This window comes from Homo sapiens, chromosome 22 (genome assembly GCF_000001405.40).
Source record: "Homo sapiens chromosome 22, GRCh38.p14 Primary Assembly".
Lineage (NCBI taxonomy): Eukaryota > Metazoa > Chordata > Mammalia > Primates > Hominidae > Homo > Homo sapiens.
The window spans coordinates 44324120-44347465 of NC_000022.11; the positions used below are offsets into that span (position 1 = coordinate 44324120).

A 23346-nucleotide genomic window follows, 5' to 3' on the forward strand; every position below is an offset into this window, starting at 1 on the left:
AGCTGTCCCAAATGTTACAATCCCCGCCTCAAATCCTCACAAGCCACTCAGGTTATTATCATCATTATTAGCCCTATGTTGAAAATGAGGATGCTGAGGCTCAGAGGGAAATATGCAGCCCCCATTGGTCACTAGTAAGAGATGGGGCTAGATCAGAACCCAGGCTCCAAAGCTGGCTCCCCCCTGCCTGGTCTGCAGTTGCCATGGTGCTGGGTAAGAAACACCGCCACTGGTCTAACTGCTCACCTGATTCATTTCCTCATTCATTCAACAACCACAGGCTTGGTGGTCCCTACTCTAGGGGTCTGGGGATGAGCAGATTTGGTTCCTGCCTGGCTGCTTCATGGAAGGGCTGCAACAATGTCAACACAGTAACACAAAGTTGTTAACAGTATCAAAGTGAGAATACAGAGGCGGACAAGGCATTGAATGCACACTGTGCTAACTAAACCCTTTGTATGAATTTATTTTATCTGGTCTCACAATAACCCATTTTGCAGGTAAGGAAACTGAGGCTCCAGGGGTTATATAACTTGCCCAAGGTCACAAAGTGAGGAGCAAGCAGCGGAGACTTGTCTATGTGAAATCCCAGCATAGCCTCGGGAATTCCAGGCTGCTCTTGGGGAAGGAGGCAGCCTGCCTGAGATCAGCACCCGGAGCCTCCCTCTGGCCCGTTGTCCTGAGGATAGGGCTCATCTCAGCTGCACGGCTCATTCTCCAAAGGCCTTTCTGTCCTAGGGATCAGATTCCAGGCAGCTGCACCCAGCTGATGCTACACTGCCACACTCCAGCCCAGCGCCCAGAAGCTTGAACAATTTAAACAGCAAAGGCCCTGCTGGAGGGCTGGGTGCAGTGGCTCATGCCTGTAATCCCAGCACTTTGGGAGGCCAAGGTGGGTGGATCATCTGAGGTCAGGAGTTCAAGATCAGCCTGGCCAACGTGGCGAAACCCTGTCTCTACTAAAACTACAAAAATTAGCTGGGCATGGTGGTGGGCGCCTGTAATCCCAGCTACTAGGGAGGCTGAGGCAAGAGAATCGCTTGAACCCAGGAGGTGGAGGTTGCAGTGAGCTGAGATTGAGCAACTGCACTCCAGCCTGGGTGACAGAGAGAGACTCCGTCTCAAAAGAAAAAAAAAAAAAAAGACCCTGCTGGACTCTCACTGAGCTGAAGGCTGAACCTGGACCTTCTGGGACTTGGGATGATGCCAGGCTTCCTGCAAATGGGCAGAGAGAGGCTCCATCAGCACATTTTCTGGACGCAGAGACCGAGGCTCAGAGCTGGCAGCCCCAGCATGGGCATCACCGGGACCCAGGTCTTGAAGCCCAGCCCCTCTTGCAGCCAGGGAGTTCGGTTCCCGTGGAGGGAGAAAGGGGCCTTTCTAGACTTTGGAATTCATGTCTGTAGTTCTTTAAGTTTTAGAATTTCTATAGAATAACTTATTCTATTTGCTCTCAACCCGCACAGAGCCCATGAGATCCAGGGCCTTGGGTTTCAGAGTCCCGCCTGGCTGCGACTCTGGCCACCTTGCTTCCCATCTCTGGGCTCAGCTCTCTCCTTTAGGGAAACTTGGCCTGCCTTGGGCTACCCAAGGGCAGTGGAAAATAATGGATATGAAAGGGCTTTGTAAAAAGCCACATGTCCAGCCAGGTTGTCACAAAGGAACCTTCATAACGAGAAGCCACATCCGTGTGAGACCCACACCAAGAATTTCCTCAGGCTGCTCCTCTTCCCGAAATGCCCCTCTGCCTTCTTCTACTTGGCACGCTCCTACACACCTATCAAGACCCAAGCCGAAATTTACTTCTACCAGGAAGCCCTCCCTGACCCCTCTCAGGGGCTTTTCTTTAGTTCTCCTTCCCTTCCCCCAACAAACACACTGCAAAACTCACCAGGGAAGGACCCTGTTTCAAATCGCCCCTCCTCGCCCCAGAACTTGGTAGACGCTCCAGAAATGTGGAATGAATGAACACTAAATGCATTTCTTTCGGTCTGTAAATCCAGCTGCACACGTACAATTCTCCCGACAAAGGAAAGGAACCCAAAGTGAAAGCAAATCACCATCGTTTCCGTGACAAGCTCCGGGAGCCTCAGAGGAAATTCTCGCGCTGGATTATGGAAGGAATTTGCCTTTATTTTTAATTTGTGCCAATATCTAAGAAAACGGCACTTTATTTTGAGCCCATCAGGCGACAACGAGGAGCTTCGGAATCTGGCACGGGAGACAAACTTTCCCAGTCCAATTTCCCAATGCAAATCTCTCCTCCGCGGCAGAGCCGGCCATCCCCTCCCTCTGCTGGGCATCTCTCTGAGGCTTGCCAGGGAGGAATAATCAGATTATGTAGCTGGGTTTTCAAAGATCACGGTTTGTCTCATTTTCCAGGGAAGTGTGACCAAAAAAAAATTTTTTTTCCCTCCCAGGGCTCTGTTAAGAGCTTCCAGAACTTAATTCAGTGTTAAATGGGTGTAATTTGGGAAACTCATGCATTATTTCTTAATTTCTGGAGGCAGCCGTTTGCACACATCTGTTGGGGTAGGTGTGCGTGCAGGCAGATGGGTGGTGACTGGAGTATGTGCCCCAGATGGGAGGGGAAGGAGAGCAGGCTGGGGGGTATGGGCTGTCGATGTAAACGCCCTGTTCAGGTTGATGTCGAAAAATATAGGACTGGAGGCATTTACATTTCATCTCAGCTTCTGCTTCTGTGGATGGCTAGGCAGGGAGCGATTCTGAAGCCCTTTCCTAAAAGGAGTGCCTCGGTGGGCTTCAGTGTAAATTTCATCATCTAGGAAATGTTTGTACTCCTCCCCACACCCCCGACTCCCCAAAGCTCCTCAAGGCCTCTGGACAATGTCCACCATGTCTGCAATATAGGCTTGAACATCCTTGGCCCTCAAGAATCCCCAGTTCACTGTGTGACCTTGAACACGGTCCCAGCCCTCTCTGGGCCTCAGTGTCCCCATCTGAATATGGGGAAGCAGATCGGTTTCAGCCCCCTCCACCAGCAGTTCCTGGGGCCTCTCCCCATCACAGCACAGCACACGAGGCTCAGGCCTGCTGCTGGCACTGTCTCTGTCTACCACCCTGCCCACCCCCTTGAGGGCTGTGGAGAGTGGGGGGCGCGCACACACACACACACACACACACACACACACACACACACACGTGCGCGTACACCAGAGACCCTGCCTGGGCCTGGTCTGACGCTTTCAGAGGCACTGTGTCCTGAGGGGCTGAACGAGAAAACCTGGGCTTGTGGGAAGTGGGGACGGCCCGTGACTGGGGAAGTCAGGATGAACATTTCTGACCTGGCCACAGCTAAGAGGAAAAGGAGGAAGGGGCTCATGATAACTGGGGTGGGGGGACAGAAGGCACATCAGTAGGGCCAGTGGGACATCCACAGCCCCAGCTAGAGAATGATTTATTCATAGAGTCAATCGTTAAACAGGTTGGCTGGAAGCTGCCCGGGGGTGGGTCTCAGTGACCTTGGAGTCTCCTCCACCTCCCTAGGGGGTTCATGCTTAGGGGTCAAGGAATGTGTACCCTGGAGGAAGGCAGGAAGGAGGGAAGGGGTGCAAAAAGGGAGGGAGGAAGAGATGGGGCCACCCTCCTGCCAGGCCCTGTGCAGAGTGAGACCAGCGCCTATGGAATGGGTGTCCCCTGGTGTCCCCAGGAGGGCATAACCAGGGTGGGCAGGGCCTCGGGTCACCCTCCTCACTCATCCTGGCTCAGATGTCCAGAACTCTGCCTGTTTAGTGTTTAGGAAACAAGGCCCCACTATTCTTAGGGGTTGACAATTGTTTCAGTAACTTCTGAAAGAGCAGCTGGGCTGGGAAAAGCCTCTCTTGGGGGCGCTGGGGAAGGGGCTCTCAGTTCGCTCTAAGATCCTGTGAATCTGTTGTACAAGTCAACTGGGGAGAAGCTAAAGCAGCCAAGACTGGGTTAATAGAGGCAAAGCATCCCTAAGAAGGGAGGGGATAGCTTTCATCTAAGCATAAGGCAGGCCAGGCTCTGGGTCAGTAATATTGGAAAGTAAACAGGATAATGACTAGAAAGTGAGACTGCGGGGCCCCTGCCCCCTCATGGTTCCTGGTGCTGTGTCCTAGGAACTCTATATTGCCACCCCTCACTAGGTGGTATAGTGTAGTGGTTGGGAGCCTGGTCCTGGTGGGGTTATGTATTATTAGCCTCTTTGGGCCAGTTTTCTCATCTATACAACAGAATCCACAGTTGCCACTGACAAGATTGGCATGAGGATTAAGTGGGAAGCTGGGTTCCGAGTGTGCTCAGCATGGTACCTGGCTCGGGGCAGGCCTTCGGGCTGTCACTGCCAAGTGCAACCCTAGTGCTGTGGAGGGTGCAATTGTGAGCCTGTTCGGTGAAGTCCTGTACTGTGGACACAGACAGCTGAAGTGGCCAGACCTGCTGTCTACATGCCACCGCCCCCCAACCCGCCCCAGAAGCCAAGGGCCTGGGCATGAGGCAACCCTCTTGCAGTGTGGCCTTTGGGGTGGGGCTGGAGAGGGCTTGGCCAATTGTCCTAGGGAACTGGAAATCAGATTCACCTTCTTGGCCCAAACTGCCTCTCCCTGTGCCCACCTCAACCATGGGCAGCCCACCCAGAAGCTGTCTAAGCTCCGAACCTGGCCACCCTCCCCTCCTCCCTGCCCCACCCTGCTATTCAAACCCTCACTCAAGCTGGGGGTAGTGTTGTCTCCTGCCCTGGCCCTGCTCCATCCCCCAGCCCTCCAGGTCTGCAGCCACCTCCCAGACCCGCAGGTCCAGAAGGCTTCAGCCGCCCTGCTGTGTCTGCATCTCTGCCCACAGAGGGTCCCTGCCCAGAACATCTCCCCCTTCCTCTAGCTGATTCACGCCTGTCATTCTGGACCAAGCTCCCCTGGCCCCAACCTCTCCCAGGCTCCAAAGGACAGGTGCCTACCGCACGTGCACTTCCCCACCCCCAGGAGCTCCCCACTGCCTCATGACCTGACCTAGGGATGCCTCCAGCTCTGCTGGCTTGTCCAGGGTCACTTCCTCCTCTGCTTCCTTGAGAGTGCCAAGGGTGAGCCGAGGCCCTTCAGCACAGGCATGGGGGCTCGGGGAGTTGGCTGAAGAAGGGGAGTGAAGGGATGGATGGATGGATGACCGGTAACTGGGAGTGGCTCTCAGCTGGTCTCACTCTGGGCAGGTCCCGCTCGCTTTCTTTGTCACTCACTGACTCACAGGTCTGAGTGAGCAGCACTGGCCCTGCCCCCTACCCCTCTCATCTGGTCCACCTGCCCTGATAAGCTCCAGGCTGGGTGGCTCAGGAGAGCGAGAATGGGACACACACACACACACACACACACGCGCGGCTCTAAGCCAAACTGCTCCCCTCACCCCTCTTCATCAGTCCATACCTCCCAGATGCCTGAGACAGTGCCAGGAACGCAGCGTGAAGATGACATTAAAGAAAGAAACTGTCAGAAACCCTTGCCTGGGGCTTTCAGTTTCAGCCACAAGAGGGGCCGGGGCTGCCTGGTTGCAGAACTTCCTGGTCATCTCTTGCCAGAACAGGCACAGCAGACAGCCTCTCTGGGGAGACGAGGTGCTTGCAGAGAAGTGTCCCGCACTGAGCAGTCACAGATTCAGGGGATGGGGAGCGACCCCCCAATTCTAGGCAACCGTGACCGGCATGGAGATTGTACTGGTTGACACCAGGACCTGAAGGTTATTTGAATTCTGCTTTTGAATGACACTTCTCACCGAAGCTGAAGCCTACCAGTAGGTGAAAAGTCCCAATGGTTACCCCTGGACCATCTGATTCCCAGCAAGGTTTGGACAATCAGAACCAGGCGAGGAAACAAAGGGTGATGGAGGGAGGGACTTCTCATCAGTCTGGGTCTGAACAGAGCTGAACTTGATGGTATTTCAGGCACAGCCAGCCAGCAGCGAGATTCACAGGACATTACTGACAGAAAACACTTTAGACAATGCCCAGAGCAGGGCCCTCATTTTATAGTCTAGTAAACTGAGGTCCAGAGACATGTGGACAGCTGCCTGGGGTCACACAGCCACCAATGCTCAGTGGGAACCGACAGGGGTTTCTCAGAGTGAGCTCACAGCAGCCTTTGGTGGTGGGCATGGCTGCCATTCTATCTTCCAGATGAGGAAACGGGCTGGGAAGCCTCAGGAGCCTTGGTCAAGGTCACACAGCCGTGGAGAGGGGGCTGGAGGCCACCCCCAGAGAGTCCCTGTGTGGGGCACTTCGTGTTCTTCCCATCCTAGGCTGGGATGCCTTTAAGTGACAGGTGCAATCACTTAAAACAGGCTCAGGAGGCCCAGAGAGGTAGGGGAGACACAAAGAGGCATCCCCAGAGGTGCTCTCCCGCAGATTACATAACTCCCCTTCCCTGTCGGATGGCCCCAGGGGTGAGGCTGGGGCAGCTAGCAAGAGTGGGGGAGACCCTAGGGGGCATGGACCCGGCCTTGTTTGCCCACATCCTCTTGACTCTTTCCAAAGAGGTAACAGTTGCAGGCGCCAGGACGCGCTGGCTTTTTCCCCCTGTTTTTTTTTCCTCTGGCTGAGTAACAAATACTAATACTAATAATGATAATAATAATTAGAATAAATATAACCTCGAGACGCTTGGGGTCTCGTTGCCATGGCAACCACGGGCACTAATGAGCTTCCGAGGCTGCCGCCGGGCCGGGCCACCCCAGCCCCGGGCGCGGGATCAATGTTGATTCGGCCCCGGAGGCGACAGCGGTTCCGCAGGGGCCGCGCGGCGGACCAGGACCCAGGGGCACGCACTTGGGAGGGGTCCTTCTACCCGTCCCCTGCGCTGCCCAGCTGGGACCCCCAGGCCCCTCTGGGTCCGCAGCGTGGCCCTCAGTCCCCGTGCAGCCCGCACGGGGCTCCCAGCTCACTGAGCTCCCCGACTCTGTTCTTGGAAGCCAGTCCCCCCCTTGGACGCGGATTCCGGTCCCGGCCGCCGCGTCCCGGCGCGGTGCGCCCCGAACTGCTCTCTTCGGAACCCAGCCCCTTCCTCTCCAAGGTTCAGCGACCCCGACCTTGGTGAGCGCCGGCGCGGACCCCAGTGCCGAACACCGGCTGTCCCGCACGGTTCCTGCCCCCGGACCCTTCCCCGGTCGTCCCCAGCCCCTTTCTAAAGAGCCCCGGACCCCCGTCATATGCCCCTTACCCGCCTCTCCCAAAGCGCCCACCCTTCACCCCTTCTCCGGAGCCCCGCGCCGCAGACCCCGCCCCCCACTCGCCCAGACCCTCCTCCGCCAGGAGCTCCGCCCCGGCCCCTTTCCCCGCCGCTCTCGGACCCCGGCCCAGGCGCGCCCCTCCCCCGCGCGGCCCCCGCCCTGCCCGCCCCGGGGCTCAGCTCACCTCGTGCCCGCCGCCCGCTCGTTCCTCGCTTCGTAGCCGGGAGCCGGCGCCCGCGGGAGCCGCCTGCTGGGGTGCGGGGGCTGCCCACGCCCCCGCGATGCCCCTGCCGCCGCCGCAACAGTTGTCCGGGTTCTGGGGGCTGCGGGGACGCGGGGACTCCGGGCTCCCTGATCGGCGCTCGGAAGGCGCCCGCTCCTAGGCGCGCCGGGCGCGGCGCGGAGCTGGGGCCGGGGCCGGGGCTGGGGCTGGGGCCGGGGCTGCAGCTCCGGCTCGGCGTCCGGCTCGGGGTCCGGCTGGGGGTCCGGCGGCCGGCCGCATGCCCCGTCGCCGCCCGCGGCTACTCGGCGGCCCGCGCCGCCCGGCCGCCCGCCGGCCCCGAGCCCCGCGCCGCGCCCGCCGCCGCCGCCGCCGCGCTCATGCTCGCCGGGCCCCGCGCTCGCCGCCGCCGCCGCCGCCGCCGCCGCTGCCCACTTCACTCTTTGGCGCTCGCTCCGCGCCGCGCCCTCTGCTGCCCCCTCGCCCGGGCTCGCCGAGCTCCCGCCGCCCTGCCCGCCGCGTCCTGCGCCCTCCTCTCTCTCCCTTCCTCTCTCCTCCCTTCCTCTCTCTCTCTCCCTCTCTCTCTCTTGCGTCCTCCTCTCATTTTTTTTTTTTCTTTCGCGGTCTCTTTTCTCCCCCTCTGGCTCTTTCTCTCTCCCCTCCTGCTGTTTGCGGTGGCTTCTCACTTTCTCTCTTTTTACTTCCTTTCCGTCCGTTCTTTCACGCCTTCCTCCTCATTTTCCTTCCTTCTACTTTTCCCTTCCCTCTTTCCGCTTTCCTGCCCCGTTTCCTTCCTCCCTCCCTTCCTCCTTCCTTCCTTCCTCTGCGTTCTTCCTCTCTCCTTTGTTCCTTCCTCCTCCTCCCCACTCCCTTTTCCTCTCCTCTTCCCACCCCAGTCTCCTACTCCCCAGTCCTCCCATCCCCATGGAACATACACCTGCTTTGTCTGGGAGCCACGTTATTCCTGCCAGCCAGACCCTGGCCAGGAGGATCAGGGTCACGGTCAGCTTGGGCCGAGAACCCTTCACATGAGACAAGCTCCTCTGCCAGGGTTTCCTGTGGGAAAGGCCCCACTTCCCGACCCTCCTGGGCCACTGCATGGGGTCCCCTCTTCGGCTTCTTCTCCCCTCTCCACCCGGCAGCCCCCCAGCTCCAGTCTGCCCCCCATTTCGCCCCTCACCTGCGGGACAAGGCTGCGCTTGCCCTTCTGTGGCCTCGAAGCCAGTGAGCCCCCGTTTCCCCACCTTCCCCTGTCCCTGGCCGGGAGACCTCTGGTGTAAAGAGATCTCGTGGGGAGAAGGTTGCAGCCTCCTCGAGGGCCCCAAGAGAGAATGGAGATGAGGATCTTTTATCGATTCCGCATTTTAGGAGGGAGAAGGGAGCCCCTGGAGGACTGGCCCCAAGATCCTCCCACCTGGGTCTCCTGAGATGGTGGCCCTCATTTCATTTTTCTAAGCATTGATGGAACCGCACCAGAAACTGGGCTGAGCCCTTTATACTTGATGTATTCTTTATGCTTTATTTGTTCCTCACCACAGTGCTGGGCAGCGTCCTCCCCACTTCACAGCAGAGGTGCTGGGACTCAGAGAGGTTAGGACATCTGCTCTGAGCCACACAGCCAGCTAGGGGCAGAATCGGGGCTCAAGCCCAGGTCTGCCTGACGTCCAGGCCCAGTCCTCCAGCCTTGGCCCCTCACAGGTACCTTAGTAAACATCAAGAGAAGGCACCGAGGGCAAGTGCTGCACCCTCTCCTTACTGAGGAGGAACCAAGACAGCGGGAGGTGCCTGGCAACAGCTTGCGCGTGACCCACTGATGGGGCTGGGAATCCAGATGGCATTTCCGATGCCACATCCTGGGCCCCTTTCAAAGATAAGAGGGAGGCTCAGCCTCATGCCCGAGGCACCCAGCTGGACAGTGGGAATGGTGCTGGGGCGCCCACCCTAGGAAGCCTGCACTGTTGGAGTGCCTCAGTTTCCCCACCTGTCTCACAGGTGTCCATCCCTTCCTGTCTTCAGTGGACCTGGCTTGAGCAGCTGCCCAAGCAGGACACAATCTCCCTCCAAGGGAGCCGATGTGGGCCCTGCTCATGGGAGGGGCAGAGGGACCCCATGAATGCCCCAGCAGGGCGAGGTCAGGGTCACAGTGAGGGTTCAGGGAGGCAGTGCCTGCTCAGCCACAGGGGCAGGCAGTGTTGCCCAGTGGGAAGGCTCATGGGATTTGTAGCAAGGTGGCACTTTGTCCCTAATTGGCCAGGTGGCCTTGGGCACGGCACAGAAGCTCCCTGAACGTCAGTTCTCTTTCCTAAAGAGGTCACAGCACTGCCTCCCGCATAGAGTGTCTCGAGGACTAAATGAGACTGGGCCCATGAGATACTTCTCCTGGCGCCTGGCAAATATCCCAAGAGGGGGACGGAGGAAACTGAGGCCAAGAGAGGCCATGGAACAGGTAGAAGTGCCCGGTGCTGGTGGTGGCGGGGCTGGAAGGTGCCTGCCAGACTGTCCCGTCTGATTTTGGCTGTTATGCTGGAGAGGTGCCTGTCATCTGTGCCCTAGCAGGGACCGTGTCTCAGGCTCTCAGTGCCAGGGACACTCAGCGTTGAGGGATGCGGGCTGAGCAAGGGGAGGAAGTGTAGGGGTGTCACAGCAGGCCGCCTGTGTTGCTGGGATGGGGTGTGTTGTGTGTGTGGTGTCTGTGTGTGTGGTGTATAGTGTGTGTATGTGTGTGTTGTGTGTTGTGTTTGTTGTATGAGTGGTGTGTGTGTGTTGTATGTGTGATTTGTATGTGGTGTTTGGTGTGTGCATGTGCTATGTGTGTTCTGTGTATGCGTATTAAATGTGTGGGGTGTATGGTACATGTGTGAATATGTATGTGTGTATGAGAGAATCTGAATGAGTGGTGTGTGTTTTGTGTGTGTGGTATGTGTGTGAATATGAGAGTGTGTGAGTGCTGTGTGTTTTTTGTGAGTGTGGTATGTGTGTGAATATGAGAGTGTGTGAGTGGTGTGTGTGTCTTGTGTGTGTCATATGTCTGTGTGGTACTGTATATGAGGTGTGTGATGTATGTTTACGGTGTGTCTGTGTGTTATATATAGTGTGTGGTGGTGTGTGTGGTATGTGTGAGATGTGTATGTTTGTGAGTATACCTAGGACTGTTGAAAGTGTGTGCTGTGTGTGTGTTGTATGTGTTGTGTGTGTACGTGTGTATAAGAGTGTGTGTTGTGTGTTATATATGTATGTTATGTGTGTTGTGTGTCATGTGTGGTATATGAGTATAAATGTGTGTGTTGTATGTGTGCGTTGTGTGTATGTGGTATGGTTGGTGTGTGGTCTGCGCTGTGTATGGTGTGTTTGTGAATGTGTGTGTATGTGTGTGTGTATGAAAGTGTGAGCAGAGTGTGTTGTGTGTATATATGAAGATACGAGTGTGATATGTATATGTGAGTGATGTGTGTCAATGTGTGTGTCTCAGGCTGTGTGTGTGTGAGTATGAGTGATGTGTGTGAGGGTTTGAGTGGTGTGTGGTGGTTTGTGGGGTGTGTGGTGTGTGTGAGTGTGTGAAGGTGTGAGTGAATGGTGTGTGGTGGTGTTTGGGGGGTGTATGAGGGTGTGAGTGGCGTGTGTGTGTGAGGGTGTGAGTGCTGTGTATGGGGCCTGTGGTGTGTTTGTATGTGAAGGTGTAAGCAGTGTGGGGATGTGGTGTGTGTGTGTGTATGAGTGGGTGTGTGTGAGGGTGTGAGTGGTGTATGTGTGTGAAGGTGTGAGTGCTGTGTGTGTGCTGTATGTGGGGTCTGTGGTGTGTTTGTATGTGAGGGTATAAGTAGTGTGGGGATGTGGCGTGTGTGTGTATATGAGTGGGTTTGTGTGAGGGTGTGTGTGGTGTGGGGAGTGCCAGTGTGTATGTATGTGTGTGAGGTGCGAGTGAATAGTGTGTGTGGTGTGTGGTGTCTATGTGTGTGTAAGGATGTGAATGGTGTGTGTGGTTTTGTGTGTGTGGTGGGGGTGTGTGAGTGTGTATGTGAGTGTGCGTGAGGGTGTGAGTGGTGTGGGTTGTGTCTGTGTGAGATGTGAGTGGTGGTGTGTGAGTGTGTGTGAGGGTGTGAGTGAATGGTGTGTGTGAGGTGTGAGTGGATGGTGTGAATGAGTGGGGTGTGTGCTGTGTGTGCTGGGGTGTGCGATGGCTGTTGGCATGCGGGGGTGGTAGAATGAGGCATCTCCCTTTTTGGGGTGCGCATGTCTGGAATCTCCATATGGTGAGTGTGTCGGTGCATGTTTCCACGTGTATGTGTGGTGGTGTGTGTGTGTGCATGCATGTGTGATGTGTGTCTGTGTATGTGTGGTAAGTGTGGTGTATGTGTGGTTTGTGTCTGTGTATCTGTATGTATGTGTGGTGTATCTGTGTATGGTATGTGTGGTGTGTGTTTCTGTGTGTATGCGTTGTGTGTGTGGTGTGTGTATGTATGGTGTGTGTGTGGTGTGTGTCTGTGTGTGTGGTGTGTGTCTGTATATCTGTGTGTATGTGCGGTGTGTGTATCTGTGTATGTGTGGTGTGTGTTTCTGTGTGTCTGTGTGGTGTGTGTGTAGTGTTTGTGTGTGGTGTGTGTATGTGTGCTGTGTGTGTCTGTGTCTGTGTGTGTATGTGTGATGTGTGTGTGTCTGTGTGGTGTGTGTCTTTGTATCTGTGTGTGTATGTGTGTGTGTGTGTGGTGTGTTCAGGGCATGTGGAAAGCGTCATCATTTAGTGGAGCCCCTCCCCCTCATCCTCCCTCCCTCCGCCCTTCACCTGCCACTGGGTGGGGCTCTGTGCCTGTCCCAGGTAGTGCTGGACACCCACAGACCAGAAGAGGTCCCTGCCCCAAAGAAGCTCACTGTCGGGTTGGTGACGGCCCAAATGTTAAGGCTCTGTCACTCCATCTCCTACAGGATGAAACTCCATCCCCTTTTCCTGTGCCTGTGGCCCAGCCCACCTGCCCAGCCTCCTCTGCAGTGAGGTGCCGGAGCTCCAGCCATGTCAAACCTGCAAGGCACGGTGGCTGTCCTGGGCGGTCACTCCATGGCCTCCTCATAACCCCATGACAGGCCCACTATGTGCTGGGCTGGGCTGCCCTCCGCAGTGCTCCCAGGGCCCTGCACCTTCACCTTCTGTCTCTGGCATGGGCTCGCCTACCTTGGACAAAACTACTTTGCCTCCCTGAGCCTCAGTTTCCCCATTTGCATAATGGGAATGACCTCAAAGGGTCAATGTGAGGATTAGATGAGAGACAAGATCATAACAGGCAATGGTCCTGTTGATTAACCCAAAATAAATGAATGCTTGGCGCTTCGTGGGTACTTGGTCTCATCAACATCCCTTCTGCTTTTCCAGGAGGCCGAGGGGTCGGCAGGAAAAAGGGTGGACTTTGGAACTGAATGGATTTGGGTTTGGATCTCTGTTTGGCCACTCACCAGCTGTATGGCCTTGGCCAAGGCCGTTCACTTCTCTGTGCACTCGTGTCCTGTGCTGCCCCAACCAGATGACCACCCACTTTACAGTTCCAGAGTCTGAAATCAAATGGGTATCCCTGGGCCAAAATCCAGGGGTGCGCGGGGCCGCTCTTCCTGGAGGCTCCAGGGGAGGAGCCTCCTGTCCCCTTCCAGCCTCTAGTGGTACCCTCAGCTTGCGGCGGCATCACCCGGCCTTGGAGGGCAGCATCTTCAGATCTCCCTGCACTCCTCTTCCCACAGCCTCGGGGCGGATGCTCCCTCTGCCTCCCTCTTATAAGGATGCCTGTGATTGCATTAGGGCCCACCCTGATCATCCCAAATAATACCCCCATCTCAAAATCCTCCACTCAACCCCTTCTGCAAAGTCCTTTTTTCCCTGCTTGCCGTATAAGGTAGCACTGGCAGGTTCCAGGGATTAGGATGCGGATATCTTTGGGGGCAGGGGAGCACTCTTAAGCCTTCCGCCCTCCAGGCATCTGCCGAGGCAGGTGAGGGCGTAGGCTCGGGGGCTATTGTGTGAGTCCAGTGAGACGGAGCATGTAAGCATGTAAGCTGTCATCCACGGACCATTCAACAAATACTGCTGCGTCTCTGCTCCCGGCTGCGCTGGAGGAGGCATGTGCAGGTGACTATGCAGACTACCCTGGGAGACATTCCCCTGCCCCATTTCTGGGCACCTACTGCGTGCCAGGCCAAGCCCGACACCCCACATCTGTCGTGGCTTCATCCTCCATCCCTATTTACTATTTCTCTGACTTCGGGAGGCCTGCTCCCCCGCAAACGCGACTGCTCACAGGGCGGCCTGGCGATGACTCATGCTCTCTCCCTTGGTGGAGAGCAGCCTTTTCAAAGGGCTGGCTGGGGAGGGAGCTAAATTTAAAGCCAGGCTTCCCGAGAAGATCACCTGCCACATCAAAATTGCAGCCATTTAATCGGGAGTCGGGGACAGGAGGCATCGCACCCTCTTTCCTTTCTGAGAGGGTGGTGCTTGGAGGCCAAGACCCTGGGGCGGGCAGGGTGAGGGGGCTCCGGTTTGGTGCGACCAGCTGGTCCCAGGTCTCGACACGTTCCCTCACCTTCCCCCGCTTCCTTGCGGAGCAGCCCCCCACCCTCCCAAGGACCACCCCCAGCCCCTTCCTCCTCCAAGGGGTCCAATCCCCCAGCCCCCATTTCCTAAATTCAAAATCGAGGGCTCAGAGAGATTTCGATGCACCCTGCCCCCTCAAAGTCCTCCGGCAAGGGTGTGGCCAAGCTGGGCAGTGCCCTGGACTGGGTGGCTGCTCTGCTCCTTGGGTAGGGTGGACAGGGCGGGGTCAAGTTGTCACCTCTTTGAGCTTCTGTTTCCTTATTTATCAATCAATTCCAGGCAGGAGGAAGCACTTTGGTGGGCCCTGGAGGGCATTGTGTTCACTCCACCTGTCTACCTGGGAGGAGGCGGAGGCCGTGAGGTGGGGAGACTCAGCCCAGGATCCTGGGAGGGAAAGAGGAGCCAGCCAGCAGCCAGGCCTCTGCCTCCCAGCCCTGGCCTCCTCTGAGGTGTAAGGCTGGCTTGCTCACTGCCGCCCTTGTGCCTTTGCCAGTGGGTGAGGCTGGCTGGCTGCCTGTCCCTGCTCCTGCTCTCCCAACTGACCACAGGAGCCTCGTGTCACAGCAAAGCCATGGCTTCCCTGTGGCTACAGGGATGGGTCACAGGGAGGAAGGGCTGCCCACTGGTTAGGGGTGCTGGCTGTGGGGTCAGAGCTGAATCTGCATCTTGGCTGCTGCTGTATTGTGAGTCTTGACTGCTTGGGGCTGGGTACGTAGTAGTTGCTCTGTGTGCAGGCATCATCGCCATGGCTGACTGCGGTCCCACAGATTTGGAAGGTGTGGTGAGCTGGGTGCCGGGGTCCGGGAAGCTCGCAGGCCAGATGCACTGCACAGATGCCAGCAGTGGGGTTTGCCAAAGGCCATCATCTCATCCCTGGGGGTTCCACAGTCTCCCAGCTCCTCCTCTCTGGCCTGCCCACCTGCCTCTTGGTCACAAGTGTAAACACAGGTTTCTCTTCCAGGCCTGGCAAGGAGGCAAGAGGCGGCTTCTGTCTGCAAACAAAGTGCATGCAGCAGGCCCAGCTCTAAGCCACACCATGACCCCCCTCCCCAGTGTTTCCCTGTAACTACACTGCACTGTGAAAGGAACTTTGCAGGTGTCACAAAGGTGACTGATCAGCAAACCTTAAGAGGAGATGATCTGGCTCAGCTGACCTTGTCACATGAGTCCTTTAAAAGCAGAGCATTTTCTCTGACTGGTGACAGCAGCTGGGGCCCAAGAGACCCCGGGTGAGAGGGGTAGGCATGAGGCAGTGCGGTGCAGGGGTCTCAGGGCAAGGCAGTGAGGAGCTAAGAGCCCCCAACCAACACCAGCAAGGACACAGGACCTCAGTCCTACAGCCACAAGGAGCTGGATTCTGCTGACACCCCCAGATAAGCCCAGGAGCCTCCAGGCGAGGGCCCGGCCCTGCTGATACCTTGAGGTCAGCCTTGTGAGACCCTAAGCAGATAACCCACTGAGCCCACGCAGACTTCTGGCCTCCAGGACTGTGAAACAGCAGGTGGGTGGTGATTTAAGAGTTCAAGTTTGTGGCAGTTTGTTACATTTTGCAGCAATAGAAATACCCACGTCCTCAGCAACCACTCATGCTACTGCCTTTTTAAAGGGGTGCAGAGCCTTACAGCCCATCCTCCACTGTCCCTCGAGGGGACAGCCCCTGACCTCGCCACTCCTCTGCTTACAGACCTTCCATGGGTACCTTCAGGATGAAGTCTGAGCTCCCGATGGTTGGGCATTCAACGTGGGAAAGAAAAGACATCGTCTCCATCAGTTTGGAGAAGATTGGCTGCAGGGGCCCTGCTATGTGCTGGGGGCAGCTGAGTCTCACAAGGGACTGAGCTCCCAGGGAAATGCCTGGACTCCAGAGGCTGCTGTGCAGACCTGTCTGTCCCCCCGAGTCCTAGGGCTCAGGGCCCATGGAGATGCCCCTGGGTCAGGGACCACCGAGCAGCCCAGGCACACTGGGAGGACGTCGGCTACGAGGTGACACGGAGCCAGGAGGCTTGGGGGACTGGGGAGCACCAACTTCACTTCCCAAAGCTGAAACACAAGAGACCCCGGGGATGCAGGCTGTTCCTGGCCTCAGTTTCCTCATCTGTAGGCGATCACTGATGATAAGCCCCGCTCGGGTAGCACCGGGCTCTGTTCTCAGCGTGTGATGCGCATTACATCGTAAGGTGGGGTAGGTGCTATTTGTCAGTGCTGTCAATAGTCAATATCACAGTTTCCCAGGCAAGGAGCTGAGGAGACAGGTGTGGCTGGAACAGTGGCTCTCAGGCAGGGGGAGGGGCTGGTGAATGAGGGCCCTGGTTCTGGCTTTGTGGCTGTGTCCTGGGCTTGCCTCCTGGCACCCCACGTAGCAGCTGGGGACCTGGACCAGATGGACTGGCTACCTCCTGCCGCCCCATGTCCTCCTCTGTAAATCGGGGACAGTGATGACTGGCCTCAGCCCAAGGCTGGCTCACAGGAGGCAGAGGTTCTGTCCAGGGGAAGTGAGAGGTCCCCACCATAGCTCAGATGCTCAACCCCTCCCCACAGCTCTGTGGCATCAGGTTCATCTGGGGAAATGGCGGAATCCACTCCTGTTTCCCGGCGCTGTGCGTCTAACCCGGGCTTGGCATCTCTGCAGCTGGCGGCTGTCACAGCTCACTGCATCCTACCGCCAGGCATCTGAAACCCAGCCCGGGACGGCGAGAATTTAGATGGTGCCAATTGGCAGGTGGAGCTGAGCACCCAGCAATGAGCCTCACTTGCACAGAGCCCCGCCTACCCTGCAGCGGGCCCCAGAGTAATGCAGTAATAATAATAACAAACACGATGACAGGCAGGATCTTTGGTGTGTGCGGGAGTCCCTGAAGTTCACTGAGCGCCCTCCACACCTGCTCATGCCTTGCATCCATGCAGGGAATAGGGTCAGGTGCTACCCTCTTCTCAGAGAGGTTGTGCCATGGGCCAGAGGTCACACAGCCCGTGAGAGGCAAAGCTGGGCAGAAATCTGAGGACCCTGATGCAGATGCTCGTGCTACTGCTGGGGAAGCTCCTTCTCAGAGCTTCTGTCTTGGGGCACTAGGGTGAGGGCTCTGCTCTGTAGACCAGTCATTTTATATCCCCAAGGCGGAGGCAGGCAGCCCAGGCCAGAACAGGAGCCTCAACTTTGTAGCTGTGTGCCCTGCACGAGTCACATGGCCCCTCTGAGATTAAGATCTACCTTTTTTCTCTGACCAGGTCACCAGCTCCTTGAGTACAGGGAGTGTGCCTTCTCTCCCCATTCTTCCTGGGCTAGGCACAGAGTATTGGCAGAACACTCTGTTTAACTGAAGCCGAATGAAGGCCCCCACTTACCGGGGGCTCTGTGCCTCACGGTGTCACTCAGGTGGTTTACCTGAATCTTCACAACCATCCTAGGAGTCACTTCTATGCATTCCCTATTAACAGATTAAAAAATCAAACAGGCCCAGAGAGGTTAGGGGACTTGCCCAGGGGCACACAGCTGGCAGTGCACAGCTGAGATTTGAACTTGGATCTGTCCCTCCTTAGCCCCCGCCCTAAGCCTCTACTCCTGACCTCAGTGCAACAAAGAACAGAGTAGAGAGCTCTGGAGTGGGAGCTTATCCTGGGTCTACCTCTCTAGGCCTTGGTTTCCCCACCTGCTCCATGCTCATTGCTGTTCGGGCCCCTCCAGCTCACAGTGGGAGGCTCTGGTAGGCTCTGTACAGCACTGGCTTCTGGCTGGTTTAGCCCAGGCGCCGAGAGGCAGGTTATCTGGGATTAAACAGCTCAGGCCCCCATGGCCCAGGCTGGAATTCCAGGCCTCTTTGATTGTGCTGAGCAGCCTCTCCCAATCTTGTAAATTGTTTGGCTTGGCCTCACGGAGCAACCTTTGTTATTGCAAAATCTCATGTTTCCATAAAGCCCAGGGAAAGAAGAGGCTTTGGCGGCAGGTTCCAGCGACTGTCTGAATTCTGTTCTTGTGAGGCTCCCAGCTGTGGGGACGCCAGCCCGGGGCTGAGCGGCAGGGTGGAGGCCGTGGCCCTGGCCAGGTGGCCCAAGCCTGTGTGGGCACCAGCCAGCCGCAGCCTGGTCACCAGTCAACATCTGAGATGAACCAGAACTGCCACAGAGATGCCCAAGGGCCAGACGGGGTGAGACTGAGATGAGGAAGCCGGGGGAGGTGTTCCCATGGTCACAGGCCTGGGACACTCCACAGACCCTGTCCAAGGGCTCTCAGGCAGATCGGGACCAGCCAAGCCCTGGTTCCTTTGGAAGAGGAGAAAGGAAGGGAAACTCCAGCTTCCAGAGCTTGGATTCATAAACCTCCTGCCAGGCCTGGGCCTTTACAAACATTTCCTCATGAGCACCACCAGCCCACCATGAGCAAGGCACTATTATTTTTGCACTGTTACAGCTGAGGATAGGAAGGATCAGAGAGGTTAAGTACCCTGTCCAGGGTCACACAGCTGGTCAGTAGAAGATGTTGTCTGCGCTGGGTTGGATTTCCAAACCCTTCAGAATCATTTATGCCAACATTGCTTTCTCAGTTGGAGAAAGCCAGGTTTCAACTTGGTGTCCAGGAGCTGCCTCTGCCTCAGTCTCTCCACCCTGGATCCAGGCCCCATGAGGGACCAGGCCCTCTGCGGTTGGGTTTGCTGACATCCTGCTCTAGGTCCCCCAGAATGCCACGCCGGGTACTGGAGCCCAGGCCAAGAGAGAGGATGGGCTGCCTTCTGCCCCAGGGCACCATGGGAATATCTGGGAGCACTGCTTGCAAAGATGGATCCCCAGAACCCTGGCTTGCTAGAGCGACCTTCTAGGACCAGCAGCATGAGCCTCAGTTACTGATGAGAAAATGGAGGTTCTGAGGGTCCGGTGAGTTGCTCAAGGCCCCTGCGTAGTGAGCCTCCTTGCCACCTTCATGTTTCATTTCAATGTGACAGTTACAGATTTGCAGTCAGACTCTTGGGTCTGCCTCCTGTCTGTGCCCCCTTGGACAAAACACTTTCCTTTTGTAAGCCTCAATTTCCTCGTCTTTGAAACGGGGCCCACAGTTCCTCCCTTTTAGGGACCTGGGATGGTTGGTCAGTGGAGGCCATATAACTAACTGATTTACCACAAAGCCTGGCACACAGTAGGGCCTCTGCTTTGCAGTCCTCACCGCCTGCCCCCACTAGCGGTCAGTACCTATAGTTTGATATTTCACTGAGACACAGCAGTCACCGCTGCTGTATCTTAAGCACCTGCCGTGTGCAAGGTGCTCCGCTAGGCACTTGGTATCATCATCCGTGACAGTAACCACAACCGCTGTTTTGAGCCGCTCGTTGGGCGCAATTCTGTGCACTTCAGAAACATCTCAATGGCTGCAATGTGGGTGCTGTCATCACCACACCCATCTCACAAACGAAGAAACTGAGGCTGGAAAGTGACTTGCCCAAGGCAAAAGGCTAGCACCTTTGGTCAGTAGAGCGGAGGTCCTGTCCTTCTGAGCCAGCTCGGGGACCCTGGGGCAGAGCCTGGCCTGCCAGGAGAGGAGGGAGGGAGCAGTGAGGAAGGTTGGCGAGGGGGTTGGGTGCAGATGGGCAAAAATGGGAACCTGCAGGCTGCCAGGTGCCTCCCAGGGTGGAGTCAATAGGGCTGAGGACCCACAAACTGTCTTGGCCAAGGCCCCGACCTGGACTCTGGAGTATGGCGGTCAGCGCAGGATGGGTCTGTGCCACAGACATAGGGACCGGTCTGCATGGGACTCTGCCCTTGACAACGGGGGCTCACAGTCCCTAGGTGAGCTGGCTTCACTGGGCAGAGTCCCTCGGTCCTCTAGCTCTAGATACTCAGCCATTCCTCCTAGTACCCCCCTCTCAGTACTCACTGGTGCCATCTTGTCCAAGACTCACTGTCTCCTGCCTGGACTTAGGCAGTAGCCAACAATCTCTCTGACTCCATTCTCTGGCCCACTGAGCCATCCTTCACATGGAGCCAAAGGATCTGTGTGAAATCCACATCCAACAGCATCGCTCTCCCGCTCAAGACCCTCCTGTGGCTCCCTATTTACTTTCAGGCTAAAGTCTGGATTCCACCTGCCATCTTGCCCCTTCTCCTGCCAAAGGCCACCCTAGGCTTGCATAGCCTCTCAACTTTTCTGAAGGTACCCTTATACTCTCTGTTTTCTTTTCCTGGACTTCTCTCTTGCTCCTTTTTATCTCTGAGGACCCAGAACATTTGTCTCCTCTTCCTGGAAGCCTTCTCTGAGCCCCAGTCTGGGTCCCTGCTTCCTTTGTGCTTCCTGCCCATCACAGCCCTGGTCCCAATGAAGTGACACTGTCTATCTGTGCCTCTGTCACTGCCAGGAGCTCCCAGAGAGTCAGGTTTGGTTCTGCCTTGGCTCAGTGTCTCCAGTGTGACCCACGACAGGGTCCAGCCCAGAGGGGGTCTCCACGCCTGAAGTCGCATATGTGGTTCCAACAGGCCTGGCTTGGAGAGCCAGCCCGGGAGGCAGGCAGCGGCTGGTGCCTCTTGAGCTCCCCCGGGACACCTGGAGCAGTCTGGCCACGTCTGCAACTTGGCACTGATGTTTGATTAATAAGCATATTTGGTACTTGCCTCGTACCTCTCATCTCCAACCCTCTGAACGCGTCCCCAACTATAATTAATTCTCCCCACACCCCAATGAAGCTGCTCTTCCCACAGCAGATAATGATGTGCGAAGTCCTTTCAGTGAAGGTGTTGTGATTAATTCCACTGTGTAATTAGGATCGTCTCTTCCCGCCTCCCAGGCCCCTTCCAGTTCTCCCCCTCCCTCCCCCAGGCCAACAGGTGGACTCAAGGACTTCAGCATGGAGCACTGGTTTATTATTGTTACCAAGCCACACATGAGCTTGCTGCCTCAACAGCTTGGCTTGTCCTTGGAAAATATAATGGGATAATTTTTGCAGAAATGACAGAGGCAGCAGAGGAGCAGTGAGTGGAGCGCAGCCACACTGGAACCTGGTCTCTGCAAGCTTGGGGAGTGAACTGAGGTTGGGAAGGGCCCTGGGAAATCACAACTTTAGAAAGCTCTCCCTCCTTCAGGAAGCCTCCTTTGATTAGTCTGCTCAGATTGGCCTCTCACTTTTCTGTTTCCCTCTGGCCTTTAGAGCAGAGGCCCCTGTTTTAATAGATGATTGCTTGGTATTGGCCTGGCCTTCCCAAAGACACTGAGAGTCCCCGCATCAGATTCAAGTTTCCATGTCTTTGCATCCTGCGGGGTGAGCGGAGGACTTTGCATCCAGTAGATGGGTATGTGTGGATGGGTAGATGGATGCAGCATGAGTGAACAGATGGTAGATGGGGGGATGGATGGATAGATGGGTAGGGAATAGGTGAATGGATAGATGGGTGAATGGGTGGATAAATGGATGGATGGATGGATGGGTAGGTAATTGGTGGATGGATGGATGGATGGGTGAGTGGGTGGGTGAGTGAATGGGTGGGATGGCTAGATGGATAGACAATGGGTAGATGGGCAGATGGGTAGAGGGTTGAGTAAGTGAATGGGTGGGCCGGTGGATGGGTGAGTAGATGATGGGCGGATGGATGATGGGTGAACAAGTTTACGGCAGGATGACTATACAAATGAGTGGTTGGGTAGATGGAGGGCTACGTGGACAACTGAAGGACGGGCTGGGTTGATAGGTAGATGGGTAAGGTGGTGAGTGTGAGATGGATGGGCGAGGGGTGCATGGCTCGGGGGGTTACTGGGTGAATGATGGGTGGTGGGTCTTCAATAGACAATAACAATAATGGCAGTAATAATTTACCTCCAGCTAATATTTATTGAGGTACCAGGCACTGTTCCAAGCATTTTACATGATGAATTAGCCCATTTAATACTTGTAACTCTTCCAGGGGAGAATGCATGGTAGATTGAGAGGGGGCAGCTTGGGTGTCTGTGTTGTGGACAGGCAGGCAGTCAGGCAGACGGCTGGATGTGCATTTTGTGATGGGGGCAGATGCTTGATGAAACAGATAGGGAGCTGGGCAGCTTGGGAGGGGAGGCGTGCGGGAAACAGGATGATGAGAGGTCCTGAGGGGCAGGTGAGAGGCTGACATAAGAGCTGAGTATGTTTTATTTGCCCCCACCTCAGGGAGGGACATTTCCATCCACTGGACACCCACACCAGGAAGCTGGTGTCCCCTTTGATGGCCATCTCTGCCTAGGTCCCTCATCCTACCACCTCTTAGGGCTGCAGCCGTCTAATACCATCCATTCCAGATCCCACTGACTCCTGCTGAATTTTGCCTCGTAGGCCCCCTTAGCAGCCCTGGCCCACTCCCCTGTCCCCTACACATGGAAGCCAGAGGGATCTGGCCAAAATGCAATCTTTTTTTCTTTCTTCCTTTTTTTTTTGAGATGGAGTCTCGCTCTGTCACTCAGGCTGGAGTACAGAGCTCACTGCAACCTCCGTCTCCCGGGTTCAAGCGATTCTCCTGCCTCAGCCTTCCAAGTAGCTAGGACTACAGGCACACGCCACCACGCCCGGTTAATTTTTGTGTTTTTAGTAGAGACAGGGTTTCACCATATTGGCCAGGGTGGTCTCAATCTCCTGACCTCGTGATCCGCCCGCCTCAGCCTCCCAAAGTGCTGGAATTACAGGCGTGAGCCACCGTGGCCAGCCCCAGAATGCAACCTTAATCCTGCCACCTCCCTGCCCAAGCTCTTCTGTGGCTCCCAACCCCCATGGACAGCCAGCCCTGGTCTGCCATGTGTTACATGACCAGCAGCTGCAGACACACCTGAGGCCCTGGTTTCCCCCCAACAACAGGTTCCTTCAGGCTTCCAGGTCATGACTACAAGGTGCCTCTTCCCAAATGCCAGCCCCCATCTCAGCCCATTCAACTCGGGTCGAGGGAAACCTCACCTCCTCTGCAGCCCCCGCCACAGCCACCATCCCAGAATCTGCGCGGAGGTCTCCAGCCTGAGGTCTGGAGCCACTGCCGTGTGCAAACCTTGGCTTCTCCAGCCCAGCCTCCTCATCTGTAAAATGAGGGTGAGACTTGTTCTCATCTCCCCTGGTTGTCTTGTCGTGAGGACTCAATGAGGTGTGAAAAGTGCTGAGGACACAGCTGACAGAGAGTGCTTCGCGAATGCCTGGCTGTGATTGTTATTAATAAAGCGCCTGCTTCCCCACCAGGCAGTGCATTTCTCAAAGATAAGACTGGGGCTTCTTCATGGATGAATCATTTCTTTCAACAGATATTTATGGAGGCCCTTCCTCCGCGCAGGGCAGTGTCCTGGGTGCCAGGGACACGCTAGTGCACAGAGGTCCCCCAGGCTCAGCCTAGGCCCCAGGTGACATAGGAGAGTGGTGACCGAATGGTGGCATCACGTATATGCCTA

The 23346-nt window shown here is 56.2% G+C and overlaps 1 protein-coding gene across 1 annotated transcript in view, besides 2 other annotated features; it reads right to left on the reverse strand.

The window, feature by feature from the left end:
- SHISAL1 (shisa like 1) overlaps positions 1–7595 on the reverse strand; it is an 88050-nt gene extending 80455 nt beyond the window's left edge. Inside the window, exon 1 of the mRNA XM_005261790.4 lies at positions 7376–7595. The gene's annotated coding sequence lies outside the window, so the exon portion shown is untranslated. The remainder of the gene's footprint in view (positions 1–7375) is intronic.
- Positions 13448–14211: an enhancer, noted in NCBI's record as "H3K4me1 hESC enhancer chr22:44733447-44734210 (GRCh37/hg19 assembly coordinates)". NCBI's record gives its function as "activates a minimal SCP1, AML or CMV promoter by ChIP-STARR-seq in primed H9 embryonic stem cells {active_cell/tissue: H9 hESC(primed)}" and the evidence as "EXISTENCE:reporter gene assay evidence [ECO:0000049][PMID:30033119]".
- Positions 14212–14975: an enhancer, noted in NCBI's record as "H3K4me1 hESC enhancer chr22:44734211-44734974 (GRCh37/hg19 assembly coordinates)". NCBI's record gives its function as "activates a minimal SCP1, AML or CMV promoter by ChIP-STARR-seq in naive H9 embryonic stem cells {active_cell/tissue: H9 hESC(naive)}" and the evidence as "EXISTENCE:reporter gene assay evidence [ECO:0000049][PMID:30033119]".